Here is a 15,375-nt window from a genome sequence, read left to right on the forward strand (position 1 = left end):
AGGCAGGAGAACTGCTTGAACCTGTGAGGCAGAGATTGCAGTGAGCTGAGATCACGCCACTGCACTCCAGCCTGGGTGGCAGAGCAAGACTGTCTCTGGCCGGGCGCGGTGGCTCACGCCTGTAATCCCAGCACTTTGGGAGGCCGAAGCGGGTGGATTGCCTGAGGTCAAGAGTTCAAGACCAGCCTGGCCAACACAGGGAAACCCTGTCTCTACTAAAAATACAAAAAATTAGCTGGGCGTAGTGGCAGGCGCCTGTAATCCCAGCTACTCGGGAGGCTGAGGCAGGAAAATCGCTTGAACCCAGGAGGCGGAGGTTGCAGTAAGCTGAGATCCTGCCATTGCCCTCCATCCTGGGCGACAGAGCAAGACTCCGTCTCAAAAAAAAAAAAAAGAAAAAGAAAAGAAAACCACAAGCTCCTCACTCAACCTCTAGATGGGCTGAAGCCCAGGGCTCAGCCACCTGTACCTGGCAGGCTCAAGGATGAGACAGACAGTACTCGGAGCAAGTCCGTGAGTACAGGCCCAGAGTCAAGCAGGCAGCCACACAGGAGCCAGGGCCTGCAGCCTCCAGTCTAAGCACCACTAATTCAGTGTGACATTGTACAAGTCACTGTCCCTCACTGGCCTCAGTCTTTCCTGCCTGTAAAATGGATGGATTGGGCTAGATGATGTTTACAGGCCTTCAGCTCTGAGTGACAATGATCTATAATCACTGAGAAATTAACATGGATGATAGGAAGTCAAAGCTGAGGCCTGGAACGCTGGCAGGAGCTAGGGAAACAGGCACTGGAGGCCTTGGTGTGACCCAAAGGCTGAGGTCACACCAAGTCATCACAGGGATAAGCAAACTCTCAGCCCGAAATGGGACATAATGGAGGACACGATAACACCTGCAGCTGGGCCGCAACAATGCCCCCGAGACCTGAGGTGAGGGCTGCCTTCACTCACTGACAGAGGTGGGAGTTCCAGGCTGTGGCAAGTTCCGGGGAAAGGAAGCGAGAAGCAGAATGTGCCCAGCTGGGGGCAGAGATGGGCGAAGGGTATCATTACTCTGCCACCATGCCGCCCATGCCTACATCTGCATAACAGTACCCAAGCCACGGAGGACGGCGGAGGATGCACCCCTGGCGCCTCTCAATGCTCTTGTCAGTGCCCCCCTCCTCCAGGAAGGAACAGGAGTGGGGAGGAGGGGGCACTGGAACTGGAGCTGGCAGAGATGGTTCAGGGACTCCTGGACTCCCATCTCCTTCCTCCTCCTGCTCCCTGCCTTCTCCAGAAAAAAAAGTGCAAGCTTGCCCTTCAGACCCCTCTTGCCCAGGCCGGGGCTTGGCATTGGTCAGAGACCTGCGAGGCCCTCAGTGGGCTCTGAAAGAGGCCAGGGCAGGGACCCTTCCCTTCCTGCCAGGGTATGCCAGATTCCCTCCGTTATCTAGGGGAGGACTGAGCCAAGGGAGTTGGTGCCCTCTGCCCAGGACAGCTCTCCTGAAGGTGCCCTCAGATGACCTCTCCCAGGCCACCCTCCCCAGATGCCCCGACTCTGCTGGAGGAAGGTAGGCTAAGGGGCCAGCTGCCCCGCCCCCATCTGGCCCGCCCTTCCCTACCTTCCCTCTGGAGCTCCGCTTCCTCAGAAGACTCCAGGGATATACCCTCCAAGGAGACCCCGCTGCCTGGGCTGCCTGCCATGGCGGCCCCCAGACCCGGGGACTCCCGGAGCGTCCTACACGCCGCCGTCTACCGCCTCCCCAGCCAAAGCCTGGCCGGGCTGGGGAAGGCGGGAGTCGAGGAGCGCCCTCTGAGGAACCAGCCAATGGGAAGGCTCAGCCGCCGTGACCGCCTTGCTGATTGGCTAAAGCCCTGACTGGCGCTGCGCGGTGCAGAGCAGGCGGTAACCCGGGTGGGAGAAGAGTGGTGGGAGGGAGCCCTAGTCCCACAGATTGCCCGATCCCCAGCATGTCAGTGTCGGTGGGGATGGGGAGGAGGCGGCTAACAGGAAGTTTTGAGGAGGGGGTAGGCATGCTGCCCCTTCAAGACTGGCGCGGTACTCCGAGACCCTCCCCTCACAGCCAGCTTCAGGAGACCCGAGGGAGAAAAGTCTTGGCCCATCTTGTCCCTGTACCCTCTTTTCTAGAAGCCCCTCCTCTAATACACCCCATGCCACCTCCTCCCTATGCCCTCTGACCTCTGCTCTCAGTCCCCTCTCCAGGCCCTGTTTCCTTTACAATAGTCCCTCAGTCTAAGGAAGTCCCCAAGAACGACTCAGCCCTCCACCGGGAGGCAGCCTCACTTGGGCATGGGGCAAATACCTCAAGCCTCAGACGCCTCCCCCTACCCACCCTTGGTCAGCCACTGGGAGGCAGGGTACGTGGGGGAGGTGGCATCGCTGTGGGTAGGGATGGTGCCCCAGCCCTGCTTACCCCTCGCCTCACAGCAGCTTCTTCCCCTCCCCCATCTCCCATGAGTTCTTCCTCTTAATGAAGGGGATGATGCCCAGGAAGCAAGTCAGGCATCTTGGAACTCAGTTCCCCAGAAAGGAAAAATGAGGGCACATTTGCACACAGGGAAAAGTGTGGGCAGAAGGGAAGGACTCAGCTCCGCTCCGGTGACCCCATTCCTCTGAGATCTTGTGCCCAAGAGGCCACCATCAGGGTACTGCAGCCTCCACTCAGACATTCCCTGAGGAGTGGCACCAGGTCGCATTGCACCCCTGGTTGCCATGACAGTAGAATTACACACCAGGACAGTAACCCAGGGATGGAGGAGAGATTTAAAGGGACAGCTCCACCTGAAAGCAGCCACATATCCCAGCCTTGATCCAAAAAAGGGAGGGAATCTGGTGACAGGGGAAGAGGGAGCAAGGCTGCAGGTCAGGAGATGCCAGGTTCAGGATCTCTAAGTTCTCAGCCCAGTGCCACTGTCCATTTATCTCCCAAGTCTCAGGAAAAGGGCCCCTGACTCTACCCAAAGTAGATATGGGGTCTCCCTGCAAGAGGAATACACCCATACCCTTTCCCTCCCTTCAACCATACTGACCCATGGGGAAGGGCGGAAAAAGGATCTTATTAGCTTTGCCCTTTGCAGAGTCCAAGGCAGGGATCTCCCAGGGGAGGAGGAGGGAAGGGGAGCCTGAACTCAGAGGCAGGGACACAGCTGTCTCTCTATCCTGTGGGAAGTATAATGACCACCAGATAATAAGGGGCAGAATCCACCATTAGATTTTTGAAGCTGGGAGCTAATGTAGCTCAGGATAGGACAGAGGCTGCCTGAAGGAAGAAAAACACTTTGTACTTCTTCCTTTGAATATGAGAAGCCAGGAGCAGCCCCTCGAACAACATGAAGGGGAGCAGGAGCCCCAGGAGTCCTTTGAGGAAGCAGAACCCACCGCCACACCCCAAGGCTCCACTCCCTGTCCCCCATCCTCCCCCACCACGCCCCCATCAAGTGGTCTGCAACAACGAAGCCAAATTGCTGGGCTTGCTCCTCCTCCTACGCCCCAGTCAGGCACTATTGGTGGGTTTACTGGGCAGTCCCGGCTGGAGAGGCCATTAAGCACAGGCTCAGGGGTGGGTTTAATTAATGCCTAAGCAGCTTACAGTGGGGCCTAGGCAGGCTGAAAGAGGCAGGGAGACCCCAGGGAGCCCAGCAGGCTGGACAGGAGATGGGGGACTGAGCCCTCTGATGCTGCAGAAGCTGGGGACATTGGTGCCATCCCTCCACTGCAAGGAGAAGAGGCCTTTCCTGGACAAGTGTACCACAGTTTAGGCCCTGGCTCACTCCCTTCACTTTCTCGGAGAGGAGGCACAGAGGAATCATTCTACCCAAAGTGGCAGCCCTGGAACCTCTGGCAGAGGCAGTAGTGGGGCCTAGAGCAAGGGAAGGAGCTGCATGGGAGGGAGGCATCCAGGCAGGGGGAAGTTCAGACAACTCAGAGCAGAACCATAGCAGTTCCCAGCTGCCCGGGCCTCAGAGGGCCTCTAGCACAGGGAACTTAACCTTCTGGGGTCCTGCGTGCACTACGGGAATCCATGATCCCCTAGAGTAGAATATACCTTTTGTGCATGGATGTATATGTCTACGATGAGGGCTCACTGCTGTCACCAGATTCTAAGTGACTCAGGACCAATAAAATTAAGAACAGGCCAGGTGTGGTGGCTCATGCCTGTAATCCCAGCACTTTGGGAGGCCAAGGCAGGTGGATCACCTGAGGTCAGGACAGCCTGGCCAACATGGTGAAACCCAGTCTCTACAAAAATACAAAAATTAGCTGGGCATGATAGCAGGTGCCTGTAATCCCAGCTACTTGGGAGGCTGAGGCAGGAGAATCACTTGAACCTGGGAGGTGAAGGTTGCAGTGAGCCGAGATCCCACCACTGCCCTCCAGCCTGGGCAACAGAGGGAGACTCCATCTCAAAAAAAAAAAAAAAGAAAAAGAAAAAAGTTAAGAACACTGATCTTGTCCCATCATCTCATCTTAGGGAAATCTCAGGTCTTCAAAAGGAGGTGACTGTTTCAAGGACACAGGGTTAATGCCAAAATAACAACTCAGGCCAGGCACAGTGGTTCACACCTGTAATCCCAGTAGTTTGGGAGGTCGAGGCGGGTGGAGTACTTGAGCTCAGGAGTTTGAGACCAGCATGGGCAACATTTTTGTCTTTACGAAAAATACAAAAATTAGCTGGGCATGGTGGTGCACACCTGTAGTCCCAGCTACTTGGGAGGCTGAGGTGGGAGAATGACTTGAGGCTGGTAGGCAGAGGTTGCAGTGAGCCAAGCTTGCGCCACTGCACTCCAGCCTAGGCTAAAGAGCCAGAACTTGTCTCAAAAACAACAACAACAACTTGGTGGCAGCGGCAGCAACAGCAGCATAATAATTATGACTATTCCTAAAAGTAATGTGCTCTCCCATTACAGCCTTTGCGTCTCACAGCAGCCTCTTTACAGAAGAAGAAATGCGAGCTCCAAGAGGTTAAGCAGTTTGCCACTGAGGCTTTGCTAGTTTGTCTGAGTGGCCCACTCCCTTGTCCTAATGCCTCCTACAGAGCCACGTCCAGGTATCCTAACCTGGTATTCTTGTTCCTTCACTCACAGCTTCCTGGTCCCCAGTACCCCCTGTCCACCTCTGGCACATGCTGGCCTAGTGGGCAGCGATTATGGACTTCTCAGCCCCAGGCTGTGCTGCTGTAATCCCTCCACCCCCAAGCCATTCTCCAAGGCCCAGCTCCGGGGCCACCTCCTGAAGGCCTGGTCCTATGCCACTGCCCTCCAGCAATAGTACGGGTCACCTCTGGAGCATGCATCCCCTGCCCTCCACGGAGGTGAGTTGTGCTCCAGCCCTACACTGGAGCAGGTATGGGTCTTATTCTTTCTCTTCTCCGTTCCAGCACAGGAACCCACACAGAGGAGATGGCCACAGCAGCTGCCAGAAGGAATGGCTGAGTGGTAGGGTGGACAGCAGTGGAGCCAGTTGGTTCTTATCTGGAGCTGTGCAAGTGCCCACCCCTAAGTCCTCGCCTGGCACCCTCTGAACCACTGAAATAAGCTAACATCCTCACCCCCTTCTTACCAGTTTCAGAGTTGGTGGCGGCAACCGGCATGGTGAAGGAGGCAAGGGCTCTGAAACGTCTCTCCTGGAGAGGGGAGAGAGGAGGATGAGCAGATACAAGGGCAAAGCAATGGGGAAGGGAATAGGAAGAGCCTCCCCTTCAGGACGAGCCAGAAAGGTAGGGGAGAAGGTGCTGCCCAGAAAGTGGGGGTTGGAGAACAACAATGATTCCAACGGTCCTGGGAAGCAGGAAGAGCAGGTATTACTCGCCTATTTCTCTGAGGAGGAGGAGACCAGGGAGGATAAGGGAGGTTAACTGATTTGCCCAAGTTCACAAAGCTAATAAGGAGAGCTAAAATGAAAATCCAGGTTTTATGACTCAAAAATAAGTATATAAATAAAGTGTTTCTTCCTGTTGTATTTTTTGTTTGTTTGTTTTTTGAAGAGGAAACAAGTAGAATTTTTAGAGGGTAAGACTATAATTTGGCTGAGCAAGGTGGCTCACGCCTATAATCCCAGCACTTTAGGAGGCTGAGGCAGGAGAATCACCTGAGCCCAGGAGTTTGAGACCCACCTGGGCAACATGGCGAGACCCCCATCTCTACAAAAAAATTAAAAATTATCCAGGTGTGGTGGTGCATGCCTATGATCCCAGCTACTTGTGGGGCTGAGGCAGGGGGATCTCTTGAGCCCAGGAGGTCGAGGCTACGGTAAGCCATGATTGCGCCACTGCACTCCAGCCTGGGCAACAGAGCAAGAACCTGTCTTAAAAAAAAAAAGTCATTTAAAAAATAATAAAAGAGTCCAGAATTTGAGCCAAAGTAGAAAACATGAGTACTCCTAGACTGCAGGTTCCCTGAGAGTCAGAACCACATTGATTTTATTTGCTTCTGGAACCTAGGCCTACCAAAGCGCCGATGTTCCACATTTATCTGGGGGGCTGACAGAGTGATATCTACCTCTCCACGGCCCCTCTGGCTGGCTCTCTCTCCTCTCTCCCTTTCTTAGCTCAGAGCTGGCACAAGGAGACCAAGTGCTCTGGGCAGAACCAAGCATGGAGTCTACAGCCCCAGTTTCCATTCCAGGGCCTCCCCAGGCTAGGAGTGGCTCCCTCGTTCTCCCAGGAGAGGGCAGGGGGTTACCCCCCACCCTTCTTCCCTTTGCCTTCCTGGGCATGTGCTGCTGGATAAAACCCTAATTCCCAGTTGCCATGACAACAGGAGGCAGTGGCTCACAGCAGGGGTGGGGAGTGGGGGGAAGCATCTGGCAGTGCCCACTTTAGGACTGAATGCCTGCTGAGTCCTGGGGGTGGGGGAACCACGGCAACTCCACCTCCCCCCAAAAGAGGATTCTTCCCAGAGGACTAGTACCTGATTTCAATAAAACCCTCTCTGCTCCCATTCCCTTCTCAGGCCTGAGCTGGTCACCTGAGCTCAGGTGACAGAAATTACAAAAGTGAGGGGGATGGTTCCCTTTCCTCCCAGCTCTGCCGCTGAGGACATGGAATAAAGGTGCTTTCAGGGAGAGGAAGGGCACCCCTATTCAGGCTACACCCAGGCTGGAAGAAATGCCCAGGATCCACTGTGCTGGCCCGTGCCCCTGGTGCCAATCTCTACTCCTAGAGAGCAGGGAGGAGGGATCCCTTCCCTCCCCCTCCCAGGCCTTGATGACCTGGAGCCTTCTCCTGGCTGGCGCTGCTCTCCCTCACAGGGTCAGAGAAGGGACTCCAGAAGTCCTCCTTCCCTAGAGCGTGGAGGGCGGGAAAAGGCAGGGAGGATCCTGTATGAAATCCCTGCGCTCGGAAGTCTTGCCCAGCCTGCCTGGGTTTTCTCCCGGGGAATCGGTTCCCAGAGCATCGGCTGGCTTTGCTCCCCCACGCCCGTCCAAGCCTCTGAGAGGGCGGGGCCTGGCTGTGTCCACAGGAGAACGGCAGTGCCAGGCAAGCTAGCCTGGCTCCGTGCCAAGGTCCTGCACCCAGACATCTGGGAACCTGCACCTCGGCTTCCAAAAGCCTGGGCCCAGATGCCCTCTCAGCTCTGCCTCCGAGATATCCACATCACCCATAGTGTCCGCAGGCGAGCGGACCAGCAGTGAAAGGGAGAGGTTTCTTCCAACCTCCCACCCATCCCTCCATCCATACACATACAAAGAGGTGCGGAGAAGAAAGGTCTGACAAAGGCGCTTTGGAGAGCGAGAGGTCGCGGGGAGGTCTGGACAGAACTGAGGGCCAGAGGATGGGGTCGAAAGGCCAGGCGGACGTGCATGCTTGGACCATCAGATCACCCCTGCCCCAACGGACCCAGCCCTAACACCCTGGGCGCTAGGACCTGGGGGAGGGGGGCGTGTTGTGAGCCATCAAAGAAGGCTCTCTACGTGCGCGCCCGCCGGAGACCAGGGATGAGGTCACTAAATGACTGCCCCGGCCAACCCCCACCCCGTCTTTATCCGCACCGCCCCCCCCTTAATTGACCTAACTTTCTAACCCTAGCTCTTCGCTTCTGGCACCGGTCCCCTCCCAAGTCTCCAGACCCTAACCCTGGCTCCCGACCCGCCCCGCTACAGCTTGGGAAGCGGGAGAAGCAGCGCGCGCCCTTCTGCGGACCCCCTCCCAGGGAAGATTGTGGTGTTAGCTGCCTAGGGGGACCAGGGGGCCACCGGGACCCAGCGCAACCTCTGTCTCGCTCCCCAACCCCCGGAAGCGCTAACAGCACGGTTCTTACGTAATGCCGGGCTTCTAAGTACCCCCAACCCGCACAGCCCCCGGGGAGGCCGCGCAGATACCGGGGCCCCTCACAGCTCACCACCTTGGTGCCTGAAGCCACTTTGGAGCCCCTACCGCAGGGGCGGGGACCAGTGTCAATGGGCAGCGGGGCTTGGTTCTCCCAACCAGCACCCCAGAAAGAGGGCCCAGGGGCGGGGGCGGGTGGACAGGGAGGGAACGGGCCTGGGTGAAAGGGGCCTGTGGAGTTTAAACCCAGTGAATAGGGTCCTAAGTGCCGTGTCAGGACGAAAAGAAGGCGGAGGTCTTGGGATAGGAGCTGGCCCGGGGGCCGGGGGACGCCTACCTGCGCCCCGGGAAGCCCCTAGCTCCGGGCGGCTCCAGCGCAGCCGGGCGCTCAGCGTTTATTGCTTGTCAATCGCTAGCCCGGCTCTTAAAGCGGCAAGGCCTCTCCGCGAGGGGGCGGAGGTCCGGAGGAGAGGGGAGGTGAGGAGAACGCGGAGGCCGGCACAACTCGGAGGAAGTAGTCTTTCCCAGCAGCTGGTACGGGGGCAGCCAGGTAGTGGTTTGGGAGACACCGCACAGACCACGACGCCCTGCTGGAGTCCCACTGGGAAGGGTTAGGGAGGCAGGACTGGTACCAGTACCCGCTGGTGCCCCTCGGCTCCCAAGGATCCCTTAAAGGGGCGATGGTAAAAGTGCCTAATGAGACCGGCTTGATTACTCCGCCCACCCATCTTGGCTTAGACCGGCGTTCTAGTTCCAGGCGTGCCTCACTTTTCCTCGTTATCCTGCTTCCATATTGAGAAAAAGAATAGGAGGACTTCAGAGAGACTCCCAGGAAGCAGGATACCAGCCCCAGAAGGCCTCGGGATCAGGGGCAGCTTTTTAAGGACTCAGAGGGTGGATATCCGGATTCCAGACTTTCCAGAAATTTTGCAAAAAAGAGGAAATGTCTTCCTGAAAGGATTCGAGAGCCTCTTTTAGGTCTAGGTGAGGGAGGCCTGGTCCATTTTCCTGCCTATGGAATAAAGAAGTAACTGGCTAGCCTTCCTCAGAGTCCCAGCCCAAAAAGTAAATAAAGGGTTAAACCCACTGGCCCGCCTTCGCCCAGCCTCCGGCTCCACCCCACATCTGCTAGTAAAAGATGCTGGGCCTCCAAATACGGGAGGCTCTGTGCAGTGCGACTAGCATTTGGGGCCAGCTACGCTACTTCTCCGACCTCGGCGTTCAGCCACCCCGTCCAGTTGCCCTGAACAAAATGTGAGAGTCATCCCTTTTCCTTGCTAACTGGATTCCTAAGATCATAAATGGACTGCATCTTTGGCCGGGCGCGGTGGCTCACTCCCATAATCCCAACACTTTGGGAGTCGGAGGCGGGAGCATCGGTTGAGCCTAGGAGTTCGAGACTAGCCCAAGCAACATAGTGAAACCCCATCGCTACAAAAAATAAAATAAACAAAATTAGCTGGGCGTGGTAGCGCGCGCCTGTAGTCCCAGCTACTTGGGAAGCTGAGGCTGCAGTGAGCCGAGATTGCAACACCGCACTCCAGCCTGGGCAACAGAGTGAGACCCTGTCTCAAAAGAAACAAAAAGAAAAGAAATGGATTACATTCTGGAAACTTGCTTGGAAATCTCAGAAATGGGAATCTATCCCGAAAGCAGGGGACTGGTCCCTGGGTTCCAAGACTCAGCTCTCCCCTGAGTTCCAAGGGTATAAGTTTGGATATAGGAAAAAGCCACAGAGGCGGCCGAACTGCTGAAAACCACATTGTTTAGGTGACCCAGGCTTTTACTGAGAGAAGAAAGCCATCGAACCCAGATAGCTTTGACAGGAATTGCAGGCTTTGGTCTCTAAACAAAGAGGGTTCTTGGAGCGCATTGCTTGCAGCTCTTTCCTCTATCTGCAAGCTAGAAAATCCTTCTTCTTCTTCTTCTTTTTTATTTTTATTTTTTGAGACGGAGTTTCGCTCTTGTTGCCCAGGCTGGGGTGCAATGGCATGATCTCGGCTCGTCGCAACCTCTGCCTCCCGGGTTCAAGCAATTCTCCTGCCTCAGCTTCCCGAGTAGCTGGGATTACAGGTATGCGCCACCATGCCTGGCTAATTTTGTATTTTTAGTAGAGACAGGGTTTCTCCATGTTGGTCAGGCTGGTCTCGAACTCCTGACCTCAGGTGATCTGCCCACCTCAGCCTCCCAAAGTGCTGGGATTGCAGGCATGAGCCACTGCACCCGGCCTAGAAAATCCTTATAATTGAATTCAGGAAGAGTTCCCCTTTCCATTATAAAGGCTACCCTCCACTGTCACCTGTCCACCTCTGGGCTGGAAATCACTCAGCTATTTGTATTTTGGAAGAGGAAGGATCTTGAATCTCTACAAGATATTAATTACTTCTTAATCAAGCAATTATTACCTCCATAGCGACCCACATCAAATCTTCCATTCCATTTAGGATCCTCAGGACAGTCTGGGATCTCAGATTCTGGCCCACCTGGGGAGGTGGAGCCCAACTCATTATTCTTAGCGGCTGCCCCACTGCATTCGTCGGTCAACAAGTATCTCTCTAATAAAGGCCTTGCAGAATGCCAGCCTCTCACATCTGTTCAGGACCTTACAATTGACAAATTGTTTCATTCTCACAACAGCCTTGTGCAGTTACAGAATGAGAAGAAACATTTATTGATGCAGAATAGGATGCTCCTCTTCTGTGCCAGGCAAGGTACCACTTACTGTGATACTGAGATAAGGGCCCTAACCTCCTAGAGTTCACAGTCTGGGGTTGAAGTCGGAAAGGAGTGTGTTACATAGATACAAAAAGCGCTTCTTGGTAGCACAGCTGAATGCCATAATAAAGGTGCAGTGTGTCCTAAGCTGTTCCCCAAAGGAATAGAGCTGCTAATGGTTGGCAATGGAGTAGCTGGGAAGGGAAGCAGGTTTGAAGGTCGGCAATGCATCCCCTAGTAGTTAAGGGCTGCCCCCTACCTCAAGAGGGGAATGAGTCCTCCTTCTCTGAGGTTTGTAATTAGCTCTGCCTTCCTCCCTGCCTCAGCCTCAGAGGTCATAAAGGTGCAGGTAGTATATCTCCTTCCCCCAAAATCAAGGTATTCCTATGGTGGTGTTCAGCCCAGAGTTTTGGGAGTCAAGGCACAGAGAAAAATAAAACTCAAAAGTGTTACAAATTTCCAGCAGGTAAGGCTTTGCACTGAGTGATGGTGCACTTCCTATAATGACCAGCAGGGGCCACCAACAGCTATTCCCAGTTTATCTACACCCAGCCTCTGAGGTGCTTCGCCTCCACACCTGCGACTGGCCAGTGCCTAGTTCTGGAAACCTTATTTATGGACTATACTTAAAAAAAAAAAAAAAAAAAAAAAAAAAAACTTGGGCGAGGTGCCATGGCTCACACCTGTAATCCCAACACTTTGGAAGGCCGAGGTGGGCAGATCATGTGAGGTCGGGAGTTCAAGACCAGCCTGGCCAATATGATGAAACCCTGTCTCTACTAAAAATACAAAAATTAGCTGGGAGTGGTTCCGGGCGCCTGTAATCCCAGCTACTTGGGAGGCTGAGGCAGGAGAATCGCTTGAAGCCGGGAGGCAGAGGTTGCAGTGAGCCATGATTGCGCCACTGCACTCCAGCCTGGGCGACAGAGTGAGACTCCGTATTTAAAAAAAAAAAAATTAGAGCCTTCAATGGACTATATAAAATTATATAAATATTTGCCTATAAACTATATTTGTGTTATTCAACTAATTAGTATGCATATTAGAAATCACACACATAGGGATGAATTTTTATTTTCATTTTATTTATAAATAAATAAACATATTTTGAGACAGGGTCTTACTCTGTTGCCCAGGCTGGAATGCAGTAGCATGATCATAGCTCACTGCAGGCTGGACCTCCCAGGCTCAAGCCATCCTCCTGCCTCAGCCTCCAGAGTAGCTGGGACCACAGCTGCATGCCACCACACCTGGAGAATTTTTTTTTTAATTTTTTGTAGAGATAGAGTCTTGCCATGTTGCCCAGGCTGGCCTTAAACTCCTGGGCTCAAGTGATCCACTTGCCTCAGCCTCCTAACGTGCTGAGATTACAGGTGTGAGTCACTGCACCAGGCCAGGATTAATTTTTTAACTATAAATAGAAATTCCAATTTTGTCTTCCCATACCCAAAAGGATCATCTTGCACACCCCTAGGTGCACACCCACTTTGGAAACCACTGTTCTAAAGGAAAAGCTATGCCGTCCTCCCTAGTCCCCGCCTCAACAGGGCATCCAGACAGGAATGGATCCAGACAGCTTTGCCTTCCCACCAGGACTAAACCAAGGCCTCCGTGAAGGACCAAGTTTCCTGGCCTCTTGCTCATCCCACAACCTCAAGACAGAAATTGAAGCCTCCTCCGCCACTACCACTACCATTACCACCAGCCTGGCCTGCGTTCATGTCAGATTGCCTTTCTAGAGGGCAGAGCCCCAAAACCTCTCTTGTAAGCAGCATCTGTTCCTCCACCTGGCCCAACAATTGCACTTTCCCTTGCCTCCTGATTTTAGTCTGCCCACCTCCCTATTGGGGTGGGAAGTTCTGGAACCAGACAATTTTGTGTTGAAATCCTGGCTCAGCCACTTCATGTGTGTGTCTTAGGCCAGTTAAATAACCTTGCCAAGCCTCAATTTCCTCATCTGTACAATAGGGATAACAACTTTGGGAGAGGACAGAGGTAGAGTGGCTGCCATGTGCCAGGCACACAGAAGGTGTTCTATAAACGCAGTTCCCTTCTGGGAGTAGGTCTAGGCAGGTTCTAGCTAGGTGCCAGCGGGCCGTGGGTGGTTAGTCCTTATCTCTGGCTGTCTGCTGTGTCCTGGCTGACTTCAGGTTCTCCTGCGGAAGGCAGGATCCACCCCAGGGCTTCTGGAGCCCCAGGTATCTGTTACAGATAGCATGTCCTCTTCTCGCTGCCCACACACTCTTTACTGGCACCTTGCCCACATCCATCTGTGCCACCCACTTCTCTTTTCCTCCTCTCCCTCCAGCACCTCCACTGAAGTGCCAAGGGCTTTGATATGGGCATCACGTGAGGGGCCAGTAACAGGTGGCCCATCGCCAAAGTGGGGAAGAGCTTGCAAAAGTCGGTGCATCGGGGTGTGGGGTGCATGCCTGTAGTCCCAGCTACTCAGGAGGCTGAGGCAGGAGGACCCCTTAAGCTCAGGAGTTCAAGACCAGCCTGGGCAACATAGTGATACCCCAATCTCTCATAATAGTAATAGTAGTAATAATAATAATTTTTAAAAGTCAGTGCAAACCCTGGGAGTGGGGGGAGTCCTGCTAACCACCCCAATGACCCAGTGTCTATTGCTGGAGCCCCCCTACAAGCCAACCATAATTTGAAGTGTCCCTGTAGACCCTGGACAGGGCAGAGATTGATGAGGGAGTGGGTGAGGGAGTGCAGGAAGCTTCTGAACAGTAGGAGTTGAAGAGGGGATCAAAGCAGAAAGTAGACGCAGTTAGATGCCCTGGGGACCGCATGAGGCACTTGAGTTGCTCTTTGGAGACAGATCAGAGGAGTGTCCCCGCTTGAACTAGTGACCTGGAGGAGAGCTGTACATATACATACACCATGCATGCGTGCACACACTCACATATACAGACACACACACACTCACATATACACACTCACCCTACACACACACACTCAGACACACTCATACACATACACCACTCTCACACACTCACATATACACACACACATATCCCTACACACACTCACATACACGCACAGACACAGGCACTCAAATACACACATACACACACTCACACACTCACATATACATACACTACACACACACTCAGACACACATACATATACACTCACATACACACATAAACACACACATACACCTACACACTCACATACACACAGACACACTCAGACACACACACTCAAATACACACATATATAACACTCATACACACATTTACCCATTTGAGTACACACACTCACACACAGATACATACACACTTATATGTACACACATACATACATGCATACACTGACATACACATACACATACACTCACAGACACTCTTGGATACACACTCTTGGACACACACATACACATACACTCAAACACAGACACTCATACACACACCCTCATACACACACTCATAGACACACTCTCACATACACATACTCACACATACACTCATGTATGCACACATCCTATGCTGCTTCCCTCCCCGCTTGTCCTGGACCAACGCAGTGCTTACAGAGTAGATTGGAGCCCAGACAGAAGAGGGGGCCAGGGCTGTGGAGAACACTGGGTGGCCTCAGGCAAGCCATTTGTCCTGGGCTTTCCCTGCTGTTAAACGGGCAGGATAATATCCACCTCGCAGGCTCTGCGACCACTGCGTGGCCTGATAAAAATGCGCTGTGAGCCATGATGGGGGAGCCCTGGGCACCCAGGCCGTGCCCTGGCCATATCCCTTCCTAGGAATGCAGGACAGTCCATCCCAGAGCTATTCTCTGCCCCTCCCCTGCCTTGACCACCCAGCGACTCTGTCCCCAGCCCTGCTTGGCACCAACTGCCCAGGTCCAGCCTCCCCCACGCCCCACAGGGATCTTCTCGTTGCCCTCCTCATTGGGGTTCACCTACCCTGGGCTCACCCTGTGCACCTCTCCTCTCTGAGGTGCCTGAGGACAGAGCGGGGAACCTCCTGCCCATTCCCTGCCACCCCATAGGGGCTTCAAGCCCTCTGACACCTCTACTTCCAGCTCGCTTCCCTGAGGTACTGGTATGGGGAGATGTGGAGCCCTGGGAAGGGGAGAAGCTGCCATCCACCCCTCCCCAAAAATGGCCTTTTTCCAGGCCAGAGCCATGTGGGGGGCTGTCCCCACCCTCACCAGTACAGACTGTAGGAGCACCCGCCATCACCCAAGGCAGACTGGGAATCTGCAGGTTCTTGGCAGCAGACCTCAGATAAAGAAACAAGCAAAGAGGTCAAGTAATTTGTCCAAAGGCATCACATGGGTCAGTGTAGAGCTGGGGCTTGACCCCAGGCAGTTGGCCTCAGGCTCCACTGCAGATGCTGCACCTCGCTTTGCAGGTACTATCATT

General features: G+C 54.0%; 1 protein-coding gene across 14 annotated transcripts in view, besides 3 other annotated features; it reads right to left on the reverse strand.

The window, feature by feature from the left end:
* Positions 1 to 10,845, reverse strand: part of MPP2 (MAGUK p55 scaffold protein 2) — a 34,352-nt gene extending 23,507 nt beyond the window's left edge. For 3 of the 14 annotated variants that reach the window (NM_001278374.2, NM_005374.5, NM_001278372.2), the window contains exons 1-2: positions 8,608 to 8,670; positions 5,564 to 5,627 (exon numbers count right to left, since the gene is read on the reverse strand). Coding sequence is in view for 10 of the 14 variants with exons in the window: in NM_005374.5 (NP_005365.4) it covers positions 5,564 to 5,594 (31 nt within the window). In the remaining 4 variants the exon portion in view is untranslated. Of the gene's footprint in view, positions 1 to 1,604; positions 1,759 to 2,417; positions 2,699 to 5,563; positions 5,628 to 6,501; positions 7,115 to 7,213; positions 7,286 to 7,688; positions 7,886 to 8,346; positions 8,671 to 10,675 lie in introns of those variants that run through there. The other 11 variants (NM_001278381.2, NM_001278370.2, XM_024450762.2 and 8 more) reach the window with 11 other exon arrangements.
* Positions 1,678 to 1,757: a silencer, noted in NCBI's record as "silent region_8570". NCBI's record gives its function as "represses an Ori minimal core promoter by ATAC-STARR-seq in GM12878 lymphoblastoid cells {active_cell/tissue: GM12878}" and the evidence as "EXISTENCE:reporter gene assay evidence [ECO:0000049][PMID:35858748]".
* Positions 8,680 to 8,829: an enhancer, noted in NCBI's record as "active region_12249". NCBI's record gives its function as "activates an Ori minimal core promoter by ATAC-STARR-seq in GM12878 lymphoblastoid cells {active_cell/tissue: GM12878}" and the evidence as "EXISTENCE:reporter gene assay evidence [ECO:0000049][PMID:35858748]".
* Positions 14,807 to 15,307: an enhancer, noted in NCBI's record as "H3K4me1 hESC enhancer chr17:41991041-41991541 (GRCh37/hg19 assembly coordinates)". NCBI's record gives its function as "activates a minimal SCP1, AML or CMV promoter by ChIP-STARR-seq in primed H9 embryonic stem cells {active_cell/tissue: H9 hESC(primed)}" and the evidence as "EXISTENCE:reporter gene assay evidence [ECO:0000049][PMID:30033119]".

This window comes from Homo sapiens, chromosome 17 (assembly GCF_000001405.40).
Source record: "Homo sapiens chromosome 17, GRCh38.p14 Primary Assembly".
NCBI classification, from domain to species: domain Eukaryota; kingdom Metazoa; phylum Chordata; class Mammalia; order Primates; family Hominidae; genus Homo; species Homo sapiens.